General features: G+C 39.4%; 1 protein-coding gene across 22 annotated transcripts in view; it reads left to right on the top strand.

Moving 5' to 3' along the window:
* AK9 (adenylate kinase 9) overlaps window positions 1–24,685 on the top strand; it is a 198,348-nt gene that overhangs the window by 31,760 nt on the left and 141,903 nt on the right. For 20 of the 22 annotated variants that reach the window (XR_942337.3, XM_047418304.1, NM_001145128.3 and 17 more), the window contains 4 exons: window positions 30–215; window positions 2,559–2,687; window positions 14,755–14,829; window positions 17,827–17,925. Coding sequence is in view for 20 of the 22 variants with exons in the window: in XM_047418304.1 (XP_047274260.1) it covers window positions 30–215; window positions 2,559–2,687; window positions 14,755–14,829; window positions 17,827–17,925 (489 nt within the window). In the remaining 2 variants the exon portion in view is untranslated. Of the gene's footprint in view, window positions 1–29; window positions 231–2,558; window positions 2,688–14,754; window positions 14,830–17,826; window positions 17,926–24,685 lie in introns of those variants that run through there. The other 2 variants (NR_138057.2, XM_017010385.3) reach the window with 2 other exon arrangements.

The raw sequence follows: 24,685 nt of genomic DNA, 5'->3' as shown, positions 1-24,685 counted from the left end.
TTAAGTGATTTAATAATGTTGTTTCTTAGTGTCCTGACTATGATTTGTGCCAGAGAATTTCTGGGCAAAGACAGCACAATAATACGGGATACATATACAGTAGAGACCAGTGGGATCCTGAAGTCATTGAGAATCATAGGAAAAAGAAGAAAGAAGCCCAAAAGGACGGAAAAGGAGAAGAGGAAGAAGAGGAAGAAGAGCAAGAAGAAGAAGAGGTAATATCTCAATAGGTAACTACCATACACTACACTTTTTAAAATTGCTATAATTAAGGTAAATGATGGTATAGGTAATAGGAAATAGTAGATGCTATACATTTTCTTTACATCTTTATTGAGTTTGGAGGAAATAAGCAAAAATCTTTCATGTTTTCAAGGATTATGAGATCATAATCTTGAGGTCAAGTTTAGCCTTCCTGTCAGCATAGACGTGTCTCTACATTTCTGATGTTCTGACACCTAGTGTGCTTCATTTCATAACTATGGAGTTATTGGTCACCTACTGTGTGTCAAGCACTAGGCAAGGTAGAATAAGAAGTTAGAGCATTTCTTAGTCTATTTTCTGTTACCTACAGCAGAATACCTGAAACTGGGTAATTTATAAAGAATGACTTTTTTTTTTTAATTTAAGCTTCATGCTTTTTAAAAGCAAAAAGAAGCAAGTGAAAGTCATTTGAATAATGTATTTTATTTAATTGAATATATCCAAAAATTTTATTTCAACTTATAATCAACATAAACAAGTGAAAGTCATTTGAATAATATATTTAATTAAATATATCAAAAAATTTTATTTCAACTTACAATCAACATAAACATTCTGAGAATGACATGTTCTATTTTCATCTAAGTTTTTGAAATCTGGTATGTATTTTACATTTACAGCACGTTCCAGTTGCACTTGCCACATTTCAAGTGCGCAATGGGGAGATGTGGCTAATAACTTCCGTGCTGGATAGCCTAAGTCTAACCCTTTGCTCTGTTTTATTTTCCTTATAGCACTTAATCACTTTCTGAAATTATGTTACTTTTGTTACTTGCTTATTATCTGTCTGCCCCACTGAATGAAAACTCTATGCAGCAGGGACTGTCTCCAGTGCCTGATAGTGGGTACTTAATATGAAGATGTGTAATGGCTGAATGAATGAACGCCAGTGTGCTAGCAAAGCCCTCTACTAGGGAGAGAAGAATGGTAGCTTCTTTTGGAAAAGACGTGTATTGAGCCACTTTGAAATGTATAACCTTTGGTCCAGTAATTCTACTTGTAGGAACTATTCTAAGGGAAAATATTAGCCATATAAAGATTTATCTATGAAGCTACTTATTGCAACATTATTTGTAATTGTGAAAAGCCTGAAACATTGTTGTCCAACTATAGAGTAATTAAATAATTGTACATTCAAGGAAATTAATATATTATTTGACTATTAAAATAATACTTAAAACAGGTTATAAAATGGCTTATATAGAGAATATGGCTCAAGTCAAATATGTATGTGTGTACATTGATAAAAATGGGAAAGAATTAATAATTAGCATCATAAATATGATATGGAACACTTATCCTGTGCCAGGCCCTGGGATGAGAACTTTTACACACGCTGTTCCCTCTACCTTAAAATGTTCTTTCTCTAGAAACTTGTGTGGCACATGTTCTCACTCATAGGTGGGAATTGAATAATGAGAACACTTGGACACAGGAAGGGGAACATCACACACCAGAGCCTGTCAGGGGGTAGGGGGAGGCAGGAGGGATAGCATTAGGAGATATACCTAATGTAAATGACGAGTTAATGGGTGAAGCACACCAACATGGCACGTGTATACATATGTAACAAACCTGCATGTTGTGCACACATACCCTAGAACTTAAAGTATAATTAAAAAAAAAAAAGAAAGAAACTTGTGTGGCAGTTCTCTCTCCCTCATTTCCTTCAGATTTCAACTCAAATTCCATTTCTCTAGATAACCCTTTCATGACCACTTGATGTAAACAGCTTCTTCTCCTACCACTCTTCATCCATGCTACCCTGCTTTATTTTTCTTCCTAGTACTTACCACCACCTAATATATTATATATTTATTTGTGTACTTGTTTATGCTGCCTTCCTCAACTGCAATGTGTGTGAGTGCTATGAGCCCAGGGTGTTAGTTGGTTTTGTTCACTGTTCTATTCCAAATCCTTAGAACAGTGCCTGATGCATAGAAGGCACTCAATAAATACTTGAATGAATGAACTACAAGCTCAGGTGTTCACAGGAAATCTAATTTCTCTATTTTGTCTCTGAAAATCTGATGTTCTTCCCCTACTCGTCCCTACTTATTGGGGAACAAACAGAAATGAGTAAATATCCAGGTCAATTTAAAGCTTTATTCCATCTGATGAAGACCCGTTAGGAGTCTTCCATTCTCTTAAATAAAAATCCTTAATCTTTAATCGTCCCCTCCCCCTGCTTCTCACCCCAAAATGATATCTAGGTGTAAGGAGTGGGGAATATGGCTTGTAAATTGAATAGTCATTGACCTAAAGATATTTGAAATCTCTTCTTTTCCATTTAGGCATTTATTGCCGAAATGCAGATGGTGGCTGAAATTCTTCATCATCTAGTTCAGAGGCCTGAAGATTATTTGGAAAATGTTGAAAACATTGTTAAGCTTTATAAGGAAACAATTCTCCAAACTTTAGAAGTAAGAACAAAATATATTGCTGAAAATGAATATTGATATTTGTGTTTCATCACTGGTTAAGTAGCTTTCACATGTCTTCATCCCCATGTGTTATTATCTGTCTGATTCTCCCCTTGAGCTTTGTAGAAAGCTGTCAGAAAAAGGCCTCCATCCCAAAGACTGTTTCCCAGAACAATATTATTTTACTCTTACAAAGCAACTCTGTTACTGCAAAGTGACAAATGAACTGCATTTTTCAAAAGCCAGTGAGGAAATTCCTTTATGGATGGGAGTTGGGAAATTCATGTTAAAAGACTATGTTATAAAAGCATTTTCAATCTGTAAGTTATAGCTTTATCAAAACAAATATACATTTAAGGTACACCTTTTGTTTAAAAGGAATTGTTCATTTAGTTAAATTGCAATCTAAAGAATTTGTTACACTGATTGGTCTATGGTTATCCCATTATATGTAAACATGGTAAGACCATTATATAATGTAATAGGAAGGTTTTAATTAAAATGATTAGTATTTTAAAAGTATGATGACTGAGATTACAAGTAGCGAAAAGCGTATTTTATATGGTAAAAAGTCCAGGTAAGACTCTACCAAATGTAATCATTTGTGTTGGAGATTTAGTCAACAAACATTTATTGAACTTGCGCATTTAGCCAGACTCTATGCTAAGCAACAGAACTGTGAAGACAAATAAAACACAGTCCTCCAATTGCCTATTCCCATATGATAGAGAAACTAAAGAATGTGTTTCATGCTGTCTCACAGTGTTTATATTACTTTAAAGATAAATGAGTGGATCATTTTCATTCTCAACATCCATCCCCCAAAATGAGAACCACACTTAATTGCTTTCATATGTATGACTTCTATTCCTCCCCACCTCTCCTGTCACTGGCTTATAAACGTAGCTTCTGAAGCGTGAAGTACACGACTATCAATAACATCCTTTCTTCCTTCAATAAAAGTATCTTGACTACTCCTTAAGTGGCTGGCACTGGGTATGAAATAAAGCCAAATTAGAATCAGATTCAGAAAGTAGAAAATTGTATTTATGGGGGGAAAATGCAGAGGTTATCTTTTTAAGAACAAGCACCAGGTTATACTTCCTCACATTTGGGCAGTGCAGCGCCCAAAGTCTGGCAAGCAGTAAATATTTAACAAATGTTCATCAGCACAAATGACAAGATACAAAGGAAAAAGAATGATAGCTTCAATTTCGTTAAATGCACAACTTCCGGAAATTAAATAGATGAAACCACACTCAAACTAAAAGACAATAAACTGGAAAAATATTCACGTTAACTATGATGAAAGATTTAAAGCTTTGATATATTAAAAGGTCATAGAAATGATTTTTTAAAAACCTGTAAGTTCACTCTGTCTTGAGATAAATGGACAACAAATATGAGCAATTAACAAAAATGAAGAATGATAAGCCTGTAGAAAAAATGTTCAGCTTCACTGATAATAAAGAAATGCTAATCTAAGTAATGAAATATCATTTCCATGATGAAAATTTAAAAGATGAACAGGTAGTAAGAATTCCTGATGCTAGCAAGGATATGGTAAAGAACTCTTATACCCCAAATATGAATTTGTATGGCCATCCTTTGACAGGTTGTCCACAAAAACACCCAGAAGTAGAAAACTTCTAGGCCCTGCAGCAAAATATAGATAAGAATTCATTGCCCTAGTGCAACAAAGCAGTATTTCAAAGCCAAGAACCTAGACTTTAGGCCTAGATGACACTTGCTGAATAGCCAAGCAATTGCCTTATATGTTGAGGGAGGAGACCCATAAAGGGTAAGACCCTACAATTCTAGTCTTCTCTGACCTGGCTGAGATGTTACTTCACTTTTAGACCAAGACCACTAAAGTTCAGTGTGTCTCCAAGAGATACAAGGAAAGCAAGCAGGAGCAAACTGAGCTGCATCACTTTCTGGTATACATTCTGCAAACTGCTTCAGGGCTAAGCCAACACCATGTTCCCATTTTGGCCTGTCTTTGAATCCCAACTCAACTCCTGGTGCAGGTATCCATTTCCTTAAGAGTGTTGATACTCTCCAACTTAGTAGTTCACTCTTAAGATTGAATCTAGCTTAAGGAAACAGTAAAAAATATAGAACAGGCAGGGCGCGGTGGCTCATGCCTGTAATCCTAGCTCTTTGGGAGGCCAAGGTGGGTGGATTGCCTGAGCTCAGGAGTTCGAGACCAGCCTGGGCAACATGGTGAAACCCCATCTCTACTAAAATCCAAAAAACAGCCGGGCATGGTGGTGCACACCTGTAATCCCAGCTACTTGGGAGGCTGAGGCAGGAGAATCACTTGAACCCAGGAGACAGAGGTTGCGGTGAGCTGAGATTGTGCCTCCAACCTGGATGACAGAGCAAGACTCCGTCTCAAAAAAGAAAAAAAATATATATATTATATATAAAACAATGCGATGTGATGCCTTGTTCAAAACATGATTATTTATTGGTAAGTGAATAATGCTGATATAATCTGTTGTCGGTCTAGAGGAAAACACCTAGAATCTAACCTCATACAATATTGTGAAAACAAAATACACTGGATAAAGAGATGATTTTGTTCAAACTTGCAATAAGGAGAATGTTCATTAATAAAGACCTTCTAAAAGCAATGGAAGAGAGCTGGGTTTTATGGAAGCAGGTAAACAAGGGAGCCATCCTTGAGTCATGAGAAAAGATGGAGACAGACTTTATCTGAGTCCTTGAGGAAGGATGGAGGTGGGTCTTCTCAGCCATCCCTGCTTTCCAGGAACACAGGGCTCAGAGTTCAACATTGTTGTTGTACACAAATAAAATCCAGTAGATATTGGATTTTGTATTAAAAATAAAAACAAATAGTAGAAGAAAACTTAGAAGAATATTAATATAATCTTGAGATAAAGAAAATCTAATTTAGGCCAGGTGTGCTGGCTCATGCCTGTAATCCCAACACTTTGAGAGGCCAAGGTGGGCAGATCACTTGAGCCCAAGAGTTCAAGACCAGCCTGTGCCACATGGCAAAAAACATGGTGAAACCCTGTCTCTACAAAAAAGAAAGAGAGAGAAAAAAAAAAAAATCTAAACAAGAAAGGAAATCTACAAGTAATGAAAATATATATTTGATTATAAAAATATTTTATCTTGCTGAAGACGCCATAAATACATTCAAAAGATAAATCATAGAAAGGAAAAATGTTTGCAATCCACATGCCAGATAAGGGTTAAAAACTTTCCGTGAATGTCAGAGAAAGGAAACAATCCAAAAGAAAAATGCGTAGAGGCTATGATAAGGCAGTTTACAGAGATGCATATCTGAATGCTGAACCTCACCACAGGAATAAAAAGTAAAATAAACTGATTCCGTTTTTTAACTCAGTTTGGCAGAAATTTAAAAGCTAAGATAGCCAGTGGTGGCAAGAAGAAATGAACCTTCTCATACATTGCGGGTTAGGGCTTTGAATTGCCACCACCTTTGGAAAAACAACTGGCTATACCTACCTGTATTAATATTAAAACCTACTTTTGCCAGGCGTGTTGTCTCATGCCTGTAATCCCAGTACTTTGGGAGGCGGAGACGGGTGGATCACCTGAAGTCAGGAGTTTGAGACCAGCCTGGCCACCATGGTGAAACCGCCTCTCTACTAAAAATACAAAAATCAGCCAGGCATGGTGGCAGGCACCTATAATCCCAGCTACTCAGGAGGCTGAGGCAGGAGACTCACTTGAACCCAGTGGGTGGAGGTTGCAGTGAGCCAAGATCATGCCATGCAGTCCAGCCTGGGTGACAGTGAAACTCCGTCTCAAAAACAAAAAAAAAACACCTACTTTTACAAATCTGGCCCATATATCCAATATATCAGGATATACCAAAGGATATTCTGTGTTACTGAACATTTATATGTGTGCATATATTTATATCAATGAGGTGAATGGTTGTATAAAAAGACGCACTGTGTTGTGCGGGCAGCATGGAGGAGCAGGGAGAAGTCGTGTTAACTGTTTCTATGTACTTTTTTGCATTCCTTCACTGGTTGCAGTTAGTACAAGTTATTTTTGTAATTATTAAAGAAGAAAGTAATTTTTAAAACTTTCATAAAAAGAAATGCTTGAAAATAACTAATAAAGTATTGTAACATACCTAAATGTCAAACAGCAGAAGAATATGAAATAAATTATGCTATATCCACAGTACATAATCTTATAAAACCATTAAAATGTTACATTGACAGTGATCTTATAAAAAGTGTAGGGGAAGTTTAGTTATAATGTTAAGTGAAAAAGTAAGCTCCATTATGATCTCAAACTCCTGAGCTGTGGGTTTGTCATAAATAGCTCTTATTATTTTGAGATGCATCCCATCAATACCTAGTTTATTGAGAGTTTTCAGCATGAAGGCTGTTGAATTTTTTTGAAGGCCTTTTCTGCATCTATTGAGATAATCATGTGGTTTTTGTCTTTGGTTCTGTTTATATGATGGATTACATTTATTCATTTGCGTATGTTGAACCAGCCTTGCATCCCAGGGATGAAGCCAACTTGATCGTGGTGGATAAGCTTTTTGATGTGCTGTTGGATTCAGTTTGCCAGTATTTTATTGAGGATTTTTGCATCGATGTTCATCAGGGATCTTGGTCTAAAATTCTCTTTTTTTGTTGTTTCTCTGACAGGCTTTGGTATCAGGATGATGCTGGCCTCATAAAATGAGTTAGGGAGGATTCCCTCTTTTTCTATTGATTGGAATAATTTCAGAAGGAATGGTACCAGCTCCTCTTTGTACCTCTGGTAGAGTTTGGCTGTGAATCCGTCAGGTCCTGGACTTTTTTTGGTTGGTAGGCTATTAATTATTGCCTCAATTTCAGAGCCTGTTATTGATCTATTCAGGAATTCAGCTTCTTCCTGGTTTAGTCTTGGGAGGGTGTATATGTCCAGGAATTTATCCATTTCTTCTAAATTTTCTAGTATTTATAGTATTCTCTGATGGTAGTTTGCATTTCTGTGGGATCGGTGGTGATATCCCCTTTATCATTTTTTATTGCATCTATTTGATTTTTCTCTCTTTTCTTCTTTATTAGTCTTGTTAGTGGTCTATCAATTTTGTTGATCTTTTCAAAAAACCAGCTTCTGGATTCATTGATTTTTTTGAAGAGTTTTATGTGTCTCTGTCTCCTTCAGTTCTGCTCTGATCTTAGTTATTTCTTGCCTTCTGCTAGCTTTTGAATTTGTTTGCTCTTGCTTCTCTAGTTCTTTTCATTGTGATGTTAGGTTGTCGATTTTAGATCGTTCCTGCTTTCTCTTGTGGGCATTTAGTGCTATAAATTTCCCTCTAAACACTGCTTTGAATATGTCCCAGAGATTCTGGTATGTTGTGTCTTTGTTCTCATTGGTTTCAAAGAACATCTTTATTTCTGCCTTCATTTCGTTATGTACCCAGTAGTCATTCAGAAGCAGGTTGTTCAGTTTCCATGTAGTTCTGCGGCTTTTAGTGAGTTTCTTTTTTTTTTCTTTTAATTGTATTATTATTATTCTTTAAGTTTTAGGGTACATGTGCACAACGTGCAGGTTTGTTACATATGTATACATGTGCCATGTTGGTGTGCTGCACCCATTAACTCATCACTTAGCATTAGGTATATCTCCTAATGCTATCCCTCCCCACTACCCCCACCCCACAACAGTCCCCGGTGTGTGATGTTCCCATTCCTGTGTCCATGTGTTGTCATTGTTCAATTCCCACCTATGAGTGAGAACATGCAGTGTTTGGTTTTTTGTCCTTGCGATAGTTTGCTGAGAATGATGGTTTCCAGTTTCATCCATGTCCCTACAAAGGACATGAACTCATCATTTTTTATGGCTGCGTAGTATTCCATGGTGTATGTGTGCCACATTTTCTTAATCCAGTCTGTCGTTGTTCGACATTTGGGTTGGTTCCAAGTCTTTGCTATTGTGAATAGTGCCACTATAAACATACGTTTGCATGTGTCTTTATAGCAGCATGATTTATAATCCTTTCGGTATATACCCAGTAATGGGATGGCTGGGTCAAATGGTATTTCCAGTTCTAGATCCCTGAGGAATCACAACACTGACTTTCACAATGGTTGAACTAGTTTACAGTCCCACCAACAGTGTAAAAGTGTTCCTATTTCTCCACATCCTCTCCATCACCTGTTGTTTCCTGACTTTTTAATGATCGCCATTCTAACTGGTGTGAGATGGTATCTCATTGTGGTTTTGATTTGCATTTCTTGGACGGCCAGTGATGATGATCATTTTTTCATGTGTCTGTTGGCTGCAGAAATGTCTTCTTTTGAGAAGTGTCTGTTCATATCCTTTGCCCACTTTTTGATGGGGTTTTTTTTTCTTGTAAATTTATTTGAGTTCTTTGTAGATTCTGGATATTGGCCCATTGTCAGATGAGTAGGTTGCAAAAATTTTCTCCCATTCTGTAGGTTGCCTGTTCACTCTGATGGTAGTTTCTTTTGCTGTGCAGAAGCTCTTTAGTTTAATTAGATTCCATTTGTCAATTTTGGCTTTTGTTGCCATTGCTTTTGGTGTTTTAGACATGAAGTCCTTGCCCATGCCTCTGTCCTGAATGGTATTGCCTAGGTTTTCTTCTAGGTTTTTTATGGTTTTAGGTCTAACATTTAAGTCTTTAATGCATCTTGAATTAATTTTTGTATGAGGTGTAAGGAAGAGATCCAGTTTCAGCTTTCTACATATGGCTAGCCAGTTTTCCCAGCACCATTTATTAAATAGGGAATCCTTTCCCCATTGCTTGTTTTTGTCAGATTTGTCAAAGATCAGATAGTTGTAGATCTGCGGCATTATTTCTGAGGCCTCTGTTCTGTTCCATTGGTCTATATCTCTGTTTTGGTACCAGTACCACACTGTTTTGGTTACTGTAGCCTTGTAGTATAGTTTGAAGTCAGGTAGCGTGATGCCTCCAGCTTTGTTCTTTTGGCTTAGGATTGCCTTGGCGATGCCAGCTCTTTTTTGGTTCCATATGAACTTTAAAGTAGTTTTTTCCAATTCTGTGAAGAAAGTCATTGGTAGCTTGATGGGGATGGCATTGAATCTATAAATTACCTTGGGCAGTATGGCCATTTTCACGATATTGATTGTTCCTACCCATGAGCATGGAATGTTCTTCCATTTGTTTGTGTCCTCTTTTATTTCATTGAGCAGTGGTTTGTAGTTCTCCTTGAAGAGGTCCTTCACATCCCTTGTAAGTTGGATTCCTAGGTATTTTATTCTCTTCGAAGCAATTGTGAATGGGAGTTCACTCATGATTTGGCTCTCTGTTATTGGTGTATAAGAATGCTTGTGATTTTTATACATTGATTTTGTATCCTGAGACTTTGCTGAAGTTGCTTATCAGCTTGAGGAGATTTTGGGCTGAGACGATGGGGTTTTCTAGATATGCAATCATGTCATCTGCAAACAGGGACAATTTGACTTCCTCTTTTCCTAATTGAATACCCTTTATTTCCTTCTCCTGCCTGATTGCCCTGGCCAGAACTTCCAACACTATGTTGAATAGGAGTGGTGAGAGAGGGCATCCCTGTCTTGTGCCAGTTTTCAAAGGGAATGCTTCCAGTTTGTGTCCATTCAGTATGATATTCGCTGTGGGTTTGTCATAGATAACTCTTATTATTTTGAGATATGTCCCATCAATAACTAATTTATTGAGAGTTTTTAGCATGAACGGTTGTTGAATTTTGTCAAAGGCCTTTTCTGCATCTGTTGAGATAATCATGTGGTTTTTGTCTTTGGTTCTGTTTATATGTTGGATTACATTTATTGATTTGCATATATTGTACCAGCCTTGCATCCCAGGGATGAAGCCCACTTGATCATGGTGGATAAACTTTTTGATGTGCTGCTGGATTCGGTTTGCCAGTATTTTATTGAGGATTTTTGCATCGATGTTCATCAAGGATATTGGTCTAAAATTCTCTTTTTTGGTTGTGTCTCTGCCAGTCTTTGGTATCAGGATGATGCTGACCTCATAAAATGAATTAGGGAGGATTCCCTCTTTTTCTATTGATTGGAATAGTTTCAGAAGGAATGGTACCAGCTCCTCTTTGTACCTTTGGTAGAATTTGGCTGTGAATCCATCTGGTCCTGGACTCTTTTTGTTTGGTAAGCTATTGATTATTGCGTCAATTTCAGAGCCTGTTATTGGTCTATTCAGAGATTCAACTTCTTCCTGGTTTAGTCTTGGGAGGGTGTATGTGTCGAGGAATTTATCTATTTCTTCTAGATTTTCTAGTTTATTTGTGTAGAGGTATTTATAGTATTCTCTTATGATAGTTTCTATTTCTGTGGGATTGGTGGTGATATCCCCTTTATCATTTTTTATTGTGTCTATTTGATTCTTCTCTCTTTTCTTCTTTATTAGTCTTGCTAGCGTTCTATCAATTTTGTTGATCTTTTCAAAAAACTAGCTCCTGGATTCATTGATTTTTTGAAGGATTTTTTTGTGTCTCTATTTCCTTCAGTTCTGCTCTGATCTTAGTTATGTCTTACCTTCTGCTAGCTTTTCAATGTGTTTGCTCTTGCTTTTCTAGTTCTTTTAATTGTGATGTTAGGGTGTCAATTTTAGATCTTGCCTGCTTTCTCTTGTGGGCATTTAGTGCTATAAATTTCCCTCTACTCACTGCTTTGAATGTGTCCCAGAGATTCTGGTATGTTGTGTCTTTGTTCTCGTTGGTTTCAAAGAACATCTTTATTTCTGCCTTCATTTCATTATGTACCCAGTAGTCATTCAGGAGCAGGTTGTTCAGTTTCCATGTAGTTGAGCGGTTTTGAGTGAGTTTCTTAATCCTGAGTTCTAGTTTGATTGCACTGTGGTCTGAGAGACAGTTTGTTATAATTTCTGTTCTTTTACATTTGCTGAGGAGTTCTTTACTTCCAACTATGTGGTCAGTTTTGGAGTAGGTGTGGTGTGGTGCTGAGAAGAATGTATATTCTGTTGATTTGGGGTGGAGAGTTCTGTAGATGTCTATTAGATCTGCTTGTTGCAGAGCTGAGTTCAATTCCTGGGTATCCTTGTTAACTTTCTGTCTCGTTGATCTGTCTAATGTTGACAGTGGGGTGTTAAAGTCTCCCATTATTATTGTGTGGGAGTCTAAGTTTCTTTGTAAGTCACTAAGGACTTGCTTTATGAATCTGGGTGCTCCTGTATTGGGTGCATATATATTTAGAATAGTTAGCTCTTATTGTTGAACTGATCCCTTTACCATTATGTAATGGCCTTCCTTGTCTCTTTTGATCTTTGTTGGTTTCAAGTCTGTTTTATCAGAGACTAGGATTGCAACCCCTGCCTTTTTTTGTTTTCCATTTTCTTGGTAGATCTTCCTCCATCCCTTTATTTTGAGCCTATGTGTGTCTCTGCACGTGAGATGGGTCTCCTGAATACAGCACACTGATGGGTCTTGACTCTTTATCCAATTTGCCAATCTGTGTCTTTTAATTGGAGCATTTAGCCCATTTACATTTAAAGTTAATATTGTTATTTGTGAATTTGATCCTGTCATTATGATGTTAGCTGGTTATTTTGCTCGTTAGCTGATGCAGTTTCTTCCTAGCCTTGATGCTCTTTACAACTTGGCATGTTTTTTCAGTGACTGTTACTGGTTGTTCCTTTCCATGCTTAGTGTTTCCTCAGGAGCTCTTGTAAGGCGGGCCTGGTGGTGACAAAATCTCTCAGCATTTGCTTGTCTGTAAAGGATTTTATTTCTCCTTCAGTTATGAAGCTTAGTTTGGCTGGATATGAAATTCTGGGTTGAAAATTATTTTCTTTAAGAATGTTGAATATTGGCCCCCACTCTCTTCTGGCTTGTGGAGTTTCTGCCAAGAGATCCACTGTTAGTCTGATGGGCTTCTCTTTGTGGGTAACCCAACCTTTCTCTCTGGCTGCCCTTAACATTTTTTCCTTCATTTTAACCTTGGTGAATCTGACAATTATGTGTCTTGGGGTTGCTCTTCTCAAGGAGTATCTTTGTAGCGTTCTCTGTATTTCCTGAATTTGAATGTTGGCCTGCCTTGCTAGGTTGGGGAAGTTTTCCTGGATAATATCCTGAAGAGTGTTTTCCAACTTAGGTCTGTTCTCCCTGTCACTTTCAGGTACACCAATCAAACTTAGGTTTGGTCTTTTCACATAGTCCCATATTTCTTGGAGGCTCTTTCATTTCTTTTTACTCTTTTTTTTCTAAACTTCTTGCTTCATTTCATTCATTTGATCTTCAATCACTGGTACCCTTTCTTCCACTTGATTGAATCAGCTACTGAAGCTTGTGCATGCATCACGTAGTTCTCATGCCATGGTTTTCAGCTCCATCATGTCATTTAAGGTCTTGTCTACCCTGTTTATTCTAGTTAGCCATTCGTCTAACCTTTTTTCAAGGTTTTTACCTTCCTTGCAATGGGTTCAAACATCCTCCTTTAGCTCAGAGAAGTTTGTTATTACCGACCTTCTGAAGCCTACTTCTGTCAACTTGTCAAAGTCATTCTCCGTCCAGCTTTCTTCCATTGCTGGTGAGGGGCTGCAATCCTTTGGAGGATTAGAGGCACTCTGGTTTTTAGAATTTTCAGCTGTTCTGCTCTGGTTTCTCCCCATCTTTGTGATTTTATCTACCTTTGGTCTTTGATGATGGTGACTTACAGATGGGGTTTTGGTGTCGATGTCCTTTTTGTTGATGTTGATGCTACTGTTTTCTGTTTGTTAGTTTTCCTTCTAACAGTTAGGACCCTCAGCTGCAGGTCTGTTGGAGTTTGCTGGAGGTCCACTCTATGGATACCCTGTTTGCCTGGGTATCACCAGCGAACGCTGTAGAACAGAACATCAAATATTGCAGAACAGCAAATGTTGCTGCCTGATCCTTCCTCTGGAAGCTTCATCTCAGAGGAGCTCTTGGCTGTATGAGGTGTCAGTGAGCCCCTACTGGGAGGTGTCTCCAAGTTAGGCTACTCAAGGGTCAGAGACCCACTTGAGGAGGCAGTCTCTCCATTCTCAGAGCTCAAACTCTGTGCTGGGAGAACCACTGCTGTCTTCAAAGCTGTCAGACAGGGACGTTTAAGTCTGCACAAGTTTCTGCTGCCTTTTGTTCAGCTATGCCCTGCCCCCAGAGGTGGAGTCTACAGAGGCAGGCAGGCCTCGTTGAGCTGTGGTGGGCTCCACCCAGTTTGAGCTTCTGGCTGCTTTGTTTACCTAGTCAAGCCTCAGCAATGGCGGATGCCCCTCGCCCAGCCTGGCTGCTGCCTCGCAGTTGGATCTTGGACTGCTGTGCTAGCAGTGAGCAAGGCTCTGTGGGCATGGGGTGCTCTGAGCCAGGCGCAGCATATAATCTCCTGGTGTGCCATTTGCTAAGACTGTTGGAAAAGCGCAGTATTAGGGCAGGAGTGTCCCGATTTTCCAGGTACCCTTGGAAACACTTTCCCTTGGCTAGGAAAGCGAAATCCCCCCACCCCTTGTGCTTCCCAGGTGAAGTGATGCCCTGCCCTGCTTCGGCTCGCCCTCCATGGGCTGCACCCACTGTCCAACCAGTCCCATTGAGATGAACCAAGTACCTCAGTTGGAAATGCAGAAATCACCCATCTTCTGCATCGATCACGCTGGGAGCTGTAGACCGGAACTGTTCCTATTTGGCCATCTTGGAACGATCAAAATACGTTGTATCTTCTAAATGATGCTAGTATCTATGTGAAGAAAGTCTGTGACTTAAAGTTTAATCAGATGCTTCCATGGTTTAGAAACCAAATAGCAAAGCTATGAACATATGCAGATAGATGCCCCAAAACATTTTGTATTGGAAAAAACATTAAGGCATCAAAGTAGAGAAAAAAGATTTTTTTAAACAGGAAAATAAAATTCATGGTGAGAAGATTAGTTTGAGCTTTTGCAAAAGATCTCTTGAGCATTGAAAATAACATACATTATAGCATGTATAAGGCAAACAATTTACTTTAAATATATCTGCACAGTATATTAAGATTCTGATCTTGTATTCAGTTTTTCTAGTGATCCTGTATTATAAAGTTTCTTTTCTATTATCTGCAGGAAGTAATGGCTGAACACAATCCCCAGTATCTCATTGAGCTAAATGGAAATAAACCAGCAGAGGAGCTCTTTATGGTGAGTGCAGTGTTAAGCAGGAATACTTCACAGCATGGAAAATTTAAATCTATTGACAGTATTGTACTTCTTTTAATAAACAGAAGCATATTTATATTTGAACACCATTTATCTTTGAACAATCTGTCTTAACACTTAAAATTTTGATGTTCTGTTTATTCATCTGTCCATTTTAAAATCAAAACTACATTCGAATTTAAAATCTCTTTCAAAAGGCGTCTCAAAGAAAAGTAAAAGCAATGGTAACCAAAAGCACATGAGAAGATGCTGAACATCATTAGTCATTAGGGAAAGGCAGGTCAAAACCACAATGGGGAACCCCCTTTTACCTTCTAGGATGACCAAAGTAAAAACAAACAAACATAAAACAAATAATAAAAAGTGTTGGTGAGGATGTGGAGAAATTGGAACCCAAAAATGTTTTACAAAAATAATTCAATAATACAAAAATATAGTAACTATCTCTTAAATGTCAAATAAGTGTCTGGCATTATAATGGGCTCTAGGGATAAAGATAGGAAGGAGGCAGAAGGGTCCACACATCTCTGCTCATGCAGTATCCAATATGTTGGGGAAAATAAATCTCTAGAGAGCAGTTTGTGTTACAGTCAGGGATACACATGCATGGTATTACAGCAGTTCATAGCATAAAGACAAAACCTAGTCTGGTAAGGAGGACCACCAGTCTGAAACTATGTTTAAATAGAAACTTAAAGGACCAGTAAGAACTAGACCTTGAAGACAAGGGGAGGTGAGGGAAGTGAGACAGTGTTCCATGCTGAGGGAAGAGTCTGTGTCAAGGACCCAGAGGCCAGAAAGAGCATAGTGGTTTGCAGGTACTGAATATAGGACTGGAACGTAGGAGGATGGGGCTGGAGGGGTGGAATAGAGCCAAGACTAGAAATAAGAAGGGATTGCACCAAGAAAGACCTTGTAAACCATAGTAAGGAGTTTGGACCTCAACATGAGGGAATAGGCATCCAGTGAAAGGTTTTAAGCCAGAAAGTACAGATGATCCTATTTCTGTTTAAGAAAGATCACTCCGTTCCAAGCAAGGAAAAAAACTAAAGGAGAATCAAATTGGTGGTAGGAAAACTAGTTTTGGCTTTTGCCATTGATCAGGTATGAGATAGTGGCCTAACCTAGGGTAGTGAACACAGGAATGGACAGAAAAGGACAGATCTGAGAGACATTTAAGAAATCTACTTGACAGGACTTGGTGAGTAACTTAATATGGGAATTAAGGGAGAGAGAAAAGTCAAATATAATGCCCAGATTTCTGGCTTGATATGACTGGTGGCAGCATGGTAACAGTGCATGCTAGTGGTGGAGCCACCTCAGGGAGAAGCTCCTCACTTGGGACATGCTCTTGCCAAGATCACCTGTGATCTCATGACCAAAGTCACTGCTCATTTTTCAGTCTTCATCTAATTCAATCTATAATAGAAGCAGCATTTGACACAACAGATCACTTCTTTTTTTCTGCACCCTTCTTCCCTTGGCTTCTTGGACCCCACACCACAGTAGTTCCATTACACCTCACTTCACACTCTAATTCGCTAACCTGCAGTGTTGCAGGACCCCAGAGTTCACAAGGCATGAGCCCTTCTCTGTTTACCCTCACTCCTTAAGAGATTTCATTCAGTCAGTAGCTTTAGATATCTTCTAACCACTGACATCTCTTAAATTCATGATGCTGTATCAGATCTTTCCCCTGAATTCCACACTTGTATACTTAATGGCTGCTCAACTGCTGTTTTTCCAATTGGATGTCTGCTAGTCATTTCAGATTTAAGTGTGCAAGATAGAACTTCACCACCACCACCCTGCCCCCAATGTGCTTCTCCCACCGTTCTCCTTTTTCAGTAAATGCAAAAACCACCCAGCCAGCTGCCCTCCTTGACTTTTTTTTTCTCACATCCCACATCCCATTCACCAGCATATACAGCAGGCTTCTCCTTCAAAATATGGCCAGAATTCTACCACTTTTTACTACCTGGGACACACTTTCCTCAAGGTAGAGGGCAGAAGCTCCAAGGGGCCTGGCTGGAACTTGCCAAACCTGTGAAGGTGCCCATGGGAACTGGTACTCTGCACTTCCACCCACGTTCCATTGGCAGAGCAGGCTACATGGAGAAGCTTGACATTAGTGGAATAAGGAAGTGTACTCCACCCAGAATGAACTAGGGAATTAATCAGTGAAGGTTGCATTGTAACACAGTCTGTCACAGGCTACCACACACCATCAGGATTTTGGCTATCTCACTATCTCCCATCTCATGATCTGTGTGCTGGCCTCTTTTATTTTTCCAGATTCTTCCATGTAGTGTCTGCACAAATTTCCTGGGGTTGCCATAACAAAGTGCCACAAACTGGTAGCTTAAAATGACAGATATTTATTCTCTCACAGTTCTGGAGGCTAAAAGTCCAAAATCAAGGTGTTGGCAGTGCCATGCTCCTTCCAAAGTCTCTTGGGGAGGCTCTATTTTTGTTTCTTCCAGCTTCTGGTAGCTCCCGGCATTTCTTGACTTATGGCAGCAAAACTCCAATATCTGCCTCCATCTTCACATGGCAATCATCCCTTTGCCTGAAGAGGTCCCAGAGACCAAGACCTCTAAGGACATGAATATCTGGGGACCAGAGGGCAGACTGTTATGAGTTGAAATGTGTCCCTCAAAAAGATATGTTGAGGCCCTGAAGTCCAATACCTATGAATGTGACCTTATTTGGAAATAAGGTCTTTGCCTATAGATTAGGAGAAGAGACTCAGACACACAGGGAGAAGATGTTTCTGTGACAACAGAGGCAGAGATTGGAGTGATGCAAGCCAAGACATACCAAGGATTGTCAGCAAACAGCCAGAAGCCAGAAGAAGCAAGCAAGGATTCGACCCAGAGTCAGGGGGAGCATGGTCTTGGCTCATAAGCCCACCACTGTTTCAGAGTATTTGAGATATTCAGATGCCAATGTAGTTAAATATCTGTTCTTTAAATCTAGATTGTTATGGATCGACTTAAATATCTGAACCTAAAAAGAGCAGCTATTCTAACCAAACTTCAGGGTGCAGAGGAAGAAATTAATGACACAATGGAAAATGTAAGTTATATGGAACTGTCTGAAAGTCTAATTTTCAATATATGTTGTGGGCAGGGTGCAGTGGCTCACACCTGTAATCCCATGGGAGGATCACTGGAGCCCAGGAGTCTGAGACCAGCCTGGATGACCTAGTCAGAACCCATCTCTACAAAAAAAAAAAAAAAAAAAGAAAGAAAGAAAAAATTAGCCAGGTGTGGTGGTATGCACCTGTAGTCTCAGCTACTCAGGAGCTGAGACGGGAGGATTGCTTGAGCCCAGGAGGTTAAGGCTGCAGTGAGCCATGATCATGCCATTGCACTCCAGCCTGGGCAACAGAGCCAGATGCTATCTGAAAAAAAATTATATATATATAAAAATGTATATATATATATATATTTATTCATATATATATGTATGTTGTGGCCTTAATTTGTATTCTTTTATAAAAATGGATGTGATTTCTAGGAAGAAGCTGTAATATTAGCACAATATCCTTTCAGATATTAGACACAACACAAGTTTTGAAACAAAATCATAACAATTACATGTAGGAACAGTAAAAAAGAAAGAAATCCAAGTTCAGTTTAAAAATTTGCAGCACCAAAGAATGTGAAGACCTAAAAGTTCTTAACTCTATTTCTTTAATAATTCAACCAATTTTTTTGAGTAACTAATGTGTTCCTGGCACTGATGTGCTACATATGTGATGGGTATCAGATTATAACTGCCAATTGCCAAAAGTGCCACAAGGAGTTTTAACTGGAGAATTTGACCTATTCTGAGAAGCTCAGTTTCACCTAAATGAGTAGAAATTATTTTTAAAAAACGCATACCAGGACTGGGCACAGTATCCCAGCACTTTGGAAGGCTGAGGTGGAAGGATCACTTGAGCCCAGGAGTTTGAGACCAGCCTGGGACATAGCGAGACTCTGGCCCTACAAAAAATAAAAAAAAAAAAAAATTGGGGTGGAGTTCCAAGATGGCCAAATAGGAACAGCTCCAGTCTGCAGCTCCCAGCGGGATCGATGCAGAAGATGGGTGATTTCTGCATTTCCAACTGAGGTACCTGGTTCATCTCATTGGGACTGGTTAGACAGTGGGTGCAGCCCATGGAGGGTGAGCTGAAGCAGGGCAGGGTGTTGCCTTACCCAGGAAGTGCAAGGGGTCCGGGGATTTCCCTTTCCTAGCCAAGGGAAGCCGTGACAGACTGTACCTGGGAAAAACAGGACACTCCCCACAAATACTGTGCTTTTCCAACTGTCTTAGCAAACAGCAGACCAGGAGTTACTATTGCATGCCTGGCTCGGCAGGTCCCACGCCCATGGAGCCTTGCTCACTGCTAGCACAGCAGTCTGAGATTGAACTGTGAGGCAGCACAGTTTTGGTTCATATGGAACCAAAAAAGAGCCCACACTGCCAAGGCAATCCTAAGCAAAAAGAACAAAGGTGGAGGCGTCACGCTACCTGACTTCAAACTATACTACAAGGCTACAGTAACCAAAACAGCATGGTATTGGTACCCAAACAGAGATAAGATCAATGGATCAGAACAAAGGCCTCAGAAATAACATCACACATCTACAACCATCTGATCTTTGACAAACCTAACCAAAACAAGAAATGGGGAAAGGATTCCCTATTTAATAAATGGTGCTGGGAAAACTGGCTAGCCATATGTAGAAAGCTGAAACTGGATCCCTTCCTTACACCTTATACAAAAATTAGTTCAAGATGGATTAAAGACTTAAATGTTAGACCTAAAACTGTAAAAACCCTAGAAGCAAACCTAGGCAATACCATTCAGGACGTAGGCAGGGGCAAGGACTTCATGACTAAAACACCAAAAGCAATGGCAACAAAAGCCAAAGTAGACAAATAGGATCTAATTAAACTAAAGAGCTTCTGCCCAGCAAAAGAAACTACCATCAGAGTGAACAGGCAACCTACAGAATGGGAGAAAATTTTTGCAATCTACACATCTGACAAAGGGCTAATATCCAGAATCTACAAAGAACTTAAACAAATTTACAAGAAAAAAACAACCCCATCAAAAAGTGGGCAAAGGATATGAACTGACACTTCTCAAAAGAAGACATTTATGCAGCCAACGGACATATGAAAAAATGCTCATCATCACTGGTCATCAGAGAAATGCAAATCAAAACCACAATGAGATACCATCTCACACCAGTTAGAATGGCAATCCTTAAAAAGTCAGGAAACAACAGATGCTGGAGAAGATGTGGAGAAATAGGAACACTTTTACACCGTTGGTGGGAGTGTAGATTAGTTCAACCATTGTGGAAGACAGTGCGGTGATTCCTCAGGGATCTAGAACTAGAAATATCATTTGACCCAGAGATCCCATTACTGGGTATATACCCAAAGGATTAGAAATCAGGCTACTATAAGGACACATGCACGCCTATGTTTATTGCAGCACTATTCACAATTACAAAGACTTGGAACCAACCCAAATGTCCATCAATGATAGACTGGATTAAGAAAATGTGGCACATATACACCATGGAATACTATGCAGCCATAAAAAAGGATGAGTTCATGTCCTTTGCAGGGACATGGATGAAACTGGAAACAATCATTGTCAGCAAACTATGGCAAGGACAGAAAACCAAACACTGCATGTTCTCACTCATAGGTGGGAATTGAACAATGAGAACATTTGGACACAGGGCGGGGAACATCACACAACATGGCCTGTCGTGGGGTGGGGATCTGGGGGAGGGATAGCATTAGGAGAAATACCTAATGTAAATGACAAGTTGATGGGTGCATCAGACCACCATGGCATATGTATACCTATGTAAAAAACCTGCACATTGTGCACATGTACCCTAGAACTTGAAGTATAATTAAAATTTTTTTAAAAAATTAACCAGACGTGATAGCACATGCCCATCGTCCCAGCTACTTGAGAGGCTGAGGTGGGGGGATCAGCTGAGCCTAGAGGTTGAGGCTGCAGTGAGCCATGATTGTGCCACTTGCACTCCAGCCTGCGTGATAAAGCAAGACCCTGTCTCAAAAATAAAAATAAAATAAAAAACAAAAACATATGCCAGGATCATAAATAGACATAATTCAAATTTTAAAATCTTTGAAGAAAGAGGTCATTTTGTTATCCTGTATCATAACAAGATCTCAGTGGGTCAACATAACTGGGATATGTGCTGGGACCCCTGCAATATGAACTGGTGCTGAAGAGGAAGAAAAGTGGGCTTGGTCAGAACAGAGGCTGGGAAAAATAAACTGAGTACTGAGGCCTCCTGTTCTAGGTCATCAATGAAGGAAAGAGAAAAAGTATCTATAAAACCTGCAGGAAATTTCTGAGCCAGAAAGTTTGTCCTTAGAAAGCATTGCATGCATGGGGCATAGGTGTAAGGTTGTAGTTCATAAGCTGTATGACTAGGTGAACCTGCCTCCTTTTTCATAAAAGGGAAGATGTGGCTGTGTATGCTGGAGTCATTATTCATATCCCTTAAGCAGCATTTCTACCTGGCAGTCCAGACCACCTCCAAAAGAATCACCTGGGAAGCTTACTACAAACACAAATCCCTGAGGCCCAAATCCCAGACTGATTGAACCAGACTATCTGGAGATGGAACCTGAAAATGTATTTTTACAAAATCTAGAACAAATTCCTATGCCCACTTAAGTCTGAGAACCACTGCTTTAACTCTTGGGACACCAAAGGAGCCTGGTCAATTAAAGTTGATTAATATACAAGTTCTTGTGTTTTTAAAGGACTTTAGATGAATAATCTTCAGCTAAAGGCAGGTGATTTTTAGAGAATCAATATAATGGAAATATTTAAAGCAGTGGGTCCCAGCCCTGACTGCAAAATGGGGTCATCTAGGAAGCTTTTTAAACATTACAATGCCCAGGCCAGTTAAAACAGAATTTCTAGGGTAGGGCTCTGTCATTAAGTGAAACAAAACAAAATAGGATATGACATCAAAGGCAGAGACTACAAAAGAAAAATACAAAAAAACTTTTCTGCATCAGCACTATCAGTAGAAGCCGGGCATGGTGGCTTATGCCTGTAATCCTAGTACTTTGGGAGTCTGAGGCAGGCAGATCACTTGAGGCCAGGAGTTTGAGACCAGCCTGGCCAACATGGTAAAACCCCATCTCTACAAAAAAAAAGGAAAACACATCAATCAATAGAGTAAAAAGACAACCCACAGAAAGGAGAAGAATATTTGAAAATCACATATCTGATAGGGATTACTATGCAGAATATGTAAAGAACAACTACAACTCCACAGCAGTAAAAAAATCCAGTTCAAAAATGGGCAAAGGATTTGAATAGACATTTCTCTAAAGAAGATATATAAATAGCCAGTAAGTACATGAAAAGATGCTCAATATCACTAGCCATTAAGGAAATGCAAATCAAAACTGCAATGAGATGCCATCTCATATCCATTGGGGTGCTATTATTCAAAAAATGAGAAATAACAAATGTTGATGAGGAGAAATGAGAACCCTCTTGCATTGTTTGTGGGGATGTAAAATGGTACAGCTGCTGTTTAAAATAGTTTGGTGGTTGCTAAAAAAGTTAAACATAGAATTCTCATCTATCCAGCAATTACACTTCTAGGCATTTCCCCCAAAGGATTGAAACCAGGAACTCAAACAGATACTTGTACACCAATATTTATAGCACCTCTATTCACAATAGCCAGAAGGTGGAGATAACCCAATGTCCATCAATGGATGAACTGATAAAATGTGGTGTGTGTGTGTGTGTGTGTGTGTGTGTGTGTGATGGAATATTATTCAACCTTAAAGAGGAGTAAAATTCTTATATATGATAAAATATGATCCATGAAAACATACTAAGTGAAACAAGCAGATACAAAAGGGCAAACATATGATTCCACTTATACGAGATACACAGAATAGACAAATTCATAGAGACAGAATGTAGGATAGAGGTTACCAGGGGCTGGGGGGAAGGAGAGTTATTTCATGAGTACAGAGTTCTGTTTGGGATGATGGAAAAGTTCTGGAAATGAATAGAGGTGGTGGTTGCACAACACAGTGAATATACTTAATACCACTGAATTGTATGCTTAAAGGTGGTTACAAAAACAAATTTTATGGGATGTGTATTTTGCCACAATTAAAAAAACAAAAAATAAACCCAAAAATCTTCCCTAGGAGATTCTACTATGCAGCTCAGGAAGAGAACCACTGGTTTAAAGGGGTAGGAAAGCCACAGAGACCTTACTGTAGACTCCAGCTCCCTGGTGAAGAGTGAGAGAGCTATAGCATCTGCTGAGTTGCAGGAGAGGAGGGGCTGTGCAGGTAGATGAGGACATGGGCATGGGTTTGTGCAGTAGGAGGAAGGACAGGGTCAGACTGGCACCTAGCACAGTAAAAATTTTGGCTTTCGAGTCACACAGACCTGGATTTGAATTCAGCGGTACAGCCTATCAGACCTGTGACTCTGCTTAACCTTGCTGCCCTTTATTCAATGGTATATATTAAAAAAGGAGCAACAATCCCTATGGCATCGTATTATTGTAAAGATTACATGAGATTATGCTTTTAAAGTGCCTAGAACCAATGGTGATATTTTAAAAATTTAACAGCTGCATTGCAGGGGCAGGGTTGGCTTCATGAACTTCACACAGGACCATGTGCTTAGTTTAATACTCTGCTGCTGCAGTCCTGAAATTCTTAATAATTGTAGAACAAGGGTCCTGTAATTTTCATTTTGTTCTGGCCCTGGCAAATTAGTTTTTGTGGTGCAAGAGCATTCACCCAATCACAACAGAGCTGGCAGAAGTGCTGAAGACATTTGCCAGGCATTAACCCTTAGTTGCTGGACCATGGAAAGGTCCAGAGTTTCTTCAGCAAGAGGATGGGTAGGAGTAGAGCTTGAGGGTAGTGGTTATAGTGGCCAACTTTCTTCTGCCCCTGCCCCGCTACCTTGGCTGTGTCTGGGGTCCCTCACATGCTCCTCTGGTTAAGTGGCTCCAGAAAGTATGCTTCTGGTCTTCTCACTGGGAGAGAAGTGGTGGGAGGGGACCAAGTGGAGTAGGAGTGGCTCTGGCACTAGCACCTTCTTTCAAAGATTTCCAACCAGTTACACTGTTTTCTGCTCTCCATTCATTCCCCTTCAGAGGTACCTGGTATCACAAGGTCCCATGTCTTTCCAGGGTTTTGCAAAGTGAATCCACTGACTCCTTGTTGTTCTTACCCCTCCCATACCTATCTTTGCTCTACAGATATTTAGCTTTCACCTATCTCTGATATAAGTCAGTTACCACTCATCCATCTGCTTTCTAACTTACAAAACTGTGTAGCTGTAACTGGTGAGCTGTCAGCCTTGATCAGCACCTCTAGTCTCTTCTCCCATTCTCTGCGTCCTCATGAGTTTATTTCTTTTTTTTTTATTCTTCTACTGTCATTTTAGTGAGGTTTTAGGAAGCAGCAAACATAAATTCATGTTTTCAGTCTGCTTTGTTTAACCAGAAGCCAGTCCTGATCATTTTTAAGCCTGTAATATCAAATTCATTCAAAAGCTCATCTTCTCTTCTCCCTTCGGCACCTGCTGAACGTGTGGCCCCATGGGCATGAAGTTGAGAGAGGAACATGGTCTGCTATTCAAATACTTAACCTTTTAGAGAATACTTATGGTCTATTCAAATACTTTTTTCATGTATGGGTGGGAAATATGGATGATAAGGAAAGAGAGACTGCCTCCTGACCTAACTGGGCATGGTTTCAGTCCCTAGCTCATTGTCCAGGA

This window comes from Homo sapiens, chromosome 6 (genome assembly GCF_000001405.40).
Source record: "Homo sapiens chromosome 6, GRCh38.p14 Primary Assembly".
Classification (NCBI taxonomy): Eukaryota; Metazoa; Chordata; class Mammalia; order Primates; family Hominidae; genus Homo; species Homo sapiens.
Note: the sequence above shows the minus strand (reverse complement) of the source record. Positions and strands in the feature narration are given on the sequence as shown.